Source organism: Homo sapiens, chromosome 17 (assembly GCF_000001405.40).
Source record: "Homo sapiens chromosome 17, GRCh38.p14 Primary Assembly".
Taxonomy (NCBI): domain Eukaryota; kingdom Metazoa; phylum Chordata; class Mammalia; order Primates; family Hominidae; genus Homo; species Homo sapiens.
In genome coordinates, this window is record NC_000017.11 from 3,197,001 (window position 1) to 3,200,398 (window position 3,398).

The 3,398-nt window shown below is 39.6% G+C and overlaps 1 protein-coding gene across 1 annotated transcript; it reads left to right on the forward strand.

The window, feature by feature from the left end:
* The first annotated feature begins 518 nt into the window (after positions 1-518).
* OR1A2 (olfactory receptor family 1 subfamily A member 2) lies at positions 519-1,448 on the forward strand. Its single transcript, NM_012352.3, has one exon. The coding sequence runs from the start codon at positions 519-521 to the stop codon at positions 1,446-1,448; it is 930 nt and encodes a 309-aa protein (NP_036484.1).
* The last annotated feature ends 1,950 nt before the right edge of the window (positions 1,449-3,398 follow it).

Below are 3,398 nucleotides of genomic sequence, written 5' to 3' on the forward strand. Positions count from 1 at the left end.
CATGTGTAATAAAATTATTGTGTGAGTCTGGCTTTCCTATTCAATTATAAGGTCCTTGAGAACAGATGCTATGTCTTGTGTAACAAATAAGTGGATGAATAACTGTATTTTCACATATTTATTGTTTCTCTACAAAGTAAAAAAAAATCTAAGACATGAAACATGAAATTAGGTTTTTGTTATGTGATTAAATTATAGATATTAAGGTGGTGGTGCTACATTTGGAAGGACAACCATCTTTACTTCACAGATCGCTAACTTCTTTGACATGAGTGTCCAGGAGGTCAATGAGAGTTCGTCCCATTGACCAACAGAGATTTTACCCAAAAGTGCTGGCTATATTTATGATTGTAAAAACCAGGTATAGCCATGGCTAATGAAAAGTGGTGGATAAGTTTGACAGCAGGTGAATTTGTAAAATAATTAAAAACGTTTAAGTGGTAGATAAGGCAGACTATAACACACACTAACTGCGCTAATAATTCTGGGTTCCTCTCCCCTTTCATGCTGAAGAAGCCATGAAGAAAGAAAATCAATCCTTTAACCTGGATTTTATTCTCCTGGGAGTTACTAGTCAGCAAGAACAGAATAATGTCTTCTTTGTGATTTTTTTGTGCATTTACCCCATCACACTGACTGGAAATCTGCTCATCATCTTGGCCATCTGTGCTGACATTCGCCTTCACAACCCCATGTATTTTCTCCTTGCCAACCTCTCCTTGGTTGACATCATCTTCTCATCCGTAACCATCCCTAAGGTGCTGGCCAACCATCTCTTGGGGAGCAAGTTCATCTCCTTTGGGGGATGCCTAATGCAGATGTATTTCATGATAGCCTTGGCCAAGGCAGACAGCTATACCTTGGCTGCAATGGCATACGATCGAGCTGTGGCCATCAGCTGCCCACTTCATTACACAACAATTATGAGTCCACGGTCTTGTATCCTGCTTATTGCTGGGTCTTGGGTGATTGGAAACACCAGTGCTCTCCCCCACACTCTGCTCACAGCTAGTTTGTCCTTCTGTGGCAACCAGGAAGTAGCCAATTTCTACTGTGACATTATGCCTTTGCTGAAGTTGTCCTGTTCTGACGTCCACTTTAATGTGAAGATGATGTACCTAGGGGTCGGCGTTTTCTCTTTGCCATTACTATGCATCATTGTCTCCTATGTTCAGGTCTTTTCCACAGTCTTCCAAGTTCCATCTACCAAGAGTCTATTCAAAGCCTTCTGCACCTGTGGCTCCCACCTCACAGTTGTTTTTTTATATTATGGTACAACGATGGGCATGTATTTCCGCCCTCTGACCAGTTACAGCCCCAAAGATGCAGTGATAACTGTGATGTATGTGGCAGTGACCCCAGCATTAAATCCTTTCATCTATAGTCTGAGAAATTGGGATATGAAGGCAGCCCTACAGAAACTCTTCAGCAAGAGAATCTCCTCATAGCCGCTGTGAGATTACACGCTGGATACTGTAATGACCAAGTGGGATACACTTGGAAATCCAGCTCCAATGTCATTGCCCTTCAAGAAGCTCCTTTTGTTCTTTTGAGCCAGAAATTCCTCTACCAGAAATCTTGTAACGGATGTGATATTTTATTGAAATTATCACTTTGGACAAATTCCTGCTCTTTTTTGAGAGAGTGGCAGGCTGGGAATATCAGGTTCATGTCCCAGTTAGCAGAAATTTACTAGCAGAGTAAAGTTGAAAAAGTCTGAGTCTCAGCTTGCATATCTACATGTTAGGAAAATAATATCTGCCGGACTCTCTGACACAGCTTGTGTATATCAAAATGGCTCATGCTTTGAAGGCTGCAAATTACTATTCTAATGTAATCTTTACTGGACTTTTATGTCTAGCCACCCCTACTATACTTGTACTCTGGTGGCAAAAGCTGTGTTAACATATCACTTACTTTTTTAGTATTTTGATCATATAAAATATTGGTGGAAAGCAGGAAAATGTATAAAAATATTAGTTTCTGAAATACAATCTGATAATGAATAAACATAATCAAACTGCATAGTATTCATTCATGTATTATAGAGCTGGTATGTCTGTTAAGGTCAGTTAAGATCCATGCAGGAAACAGAAATCACACTTGGTATATTTATACCAAGAAGATTTGATACAGAGAATTGGCTACATAGGTGTATCCTGAAAGAGACTAAATAGTGAAAAGGCAGATGCTGATGCCACCCACAGATTACCAACGGCATGAAGAAGATACCTCAGGCAGAACTAGGAAAATAAAAGTGTAAATGTGGTGTTACCGAAACCTAGACCCTCCAAGGAGGGATGACCACACATTTGATGCCCAGGTCTCTGAACACAGGTACCAAAGAGCTGGCACTTGGCCCTTATCTGGTCAGCTAAGCCAAATTTTCACTTCTGGGGATCTGAGGCCTCAGCAGTAGTAGCGACTGTTTAAATGCTTCTGGTTGGTGCAGTTTATATTCACCTTTGCTACTGGGTATGGAAAGAATAAGAAGCACCCCAGACATAATTGTAATCATGAGCTTCTGCCTCTCATTGTGTAGCAGCAACACAATGTCTTTGGTAACTGGGTCAGTCACTCCAGCCAGTAGAGAAATCCCTTTCTCTGAATGACCCACAGAGCCATGCTACAATTTGGTTAAATCTCAGCAACACGACATTAAGTTTGAAAAATGCAAATCCCAAAAGATTATTATTAATGCTTTTTATATGGTTATGAACAACTGAAACAACTAAAAATGTGCTTTCCTGGAATATACATAAATGCCATTAAAGTGCACTAAAAACAAAAGAAAATGATGAGCATAGGATCAGGATGAGAGAAAATTCAAGGGGAGAGACTAAGGGGATGGAAATGGGGATAGCGTATGGTTAGATTTCGGTTGCTACTAAACTCATAATTTTCAGGTTGGGTGATGGGTCATTGGGTATTCATGGTAGTATGATAGACGGATGTATAGATAGGTAGATTGATTAAATAAAAGCTCTTCATGATGCAATAACGAGAGCATGAGAGTTCGTCTTGAGACAATGATTAGTAAGAGGGCAATAAGGGAGGAGCAGGTAGTGGTTAGATCAGGAGTGAAATTAGGCAGCCCCTAAAACAATCTTAGGATGAGACAGTGAAGACATAGACAAAGGGTGAGATAGAGTGGTAATATGGAAATAGAAAAAATAGGATATAGTATTTTTATGATAATAGTAAGTAAAGGTATGTCTTTAAGATTTTGAGGTTGAGCCACTAAAAGAAAAAAAAAAATGCCTTTAGTGGAAATAGTGAACAAGAGTACTATGAGAAAAACTTAACAAAAACTAACACTGAGAACAAGGTGGCAGAGTAATAAGTTGCAGACCTTCCCCTCACCCACAAGTACATCCATTTAGAAACAATTCATGGAT

Bases quoted from the DNA above. Each gene is read 5' to 3' on its own strand.
- OR1A2 (NM_012352.3), top strand. From the start codon at position 519: ATGAAGAAAGAAAATCAATCCTTTAACCTGGATTTTATTCTCCTGGGA.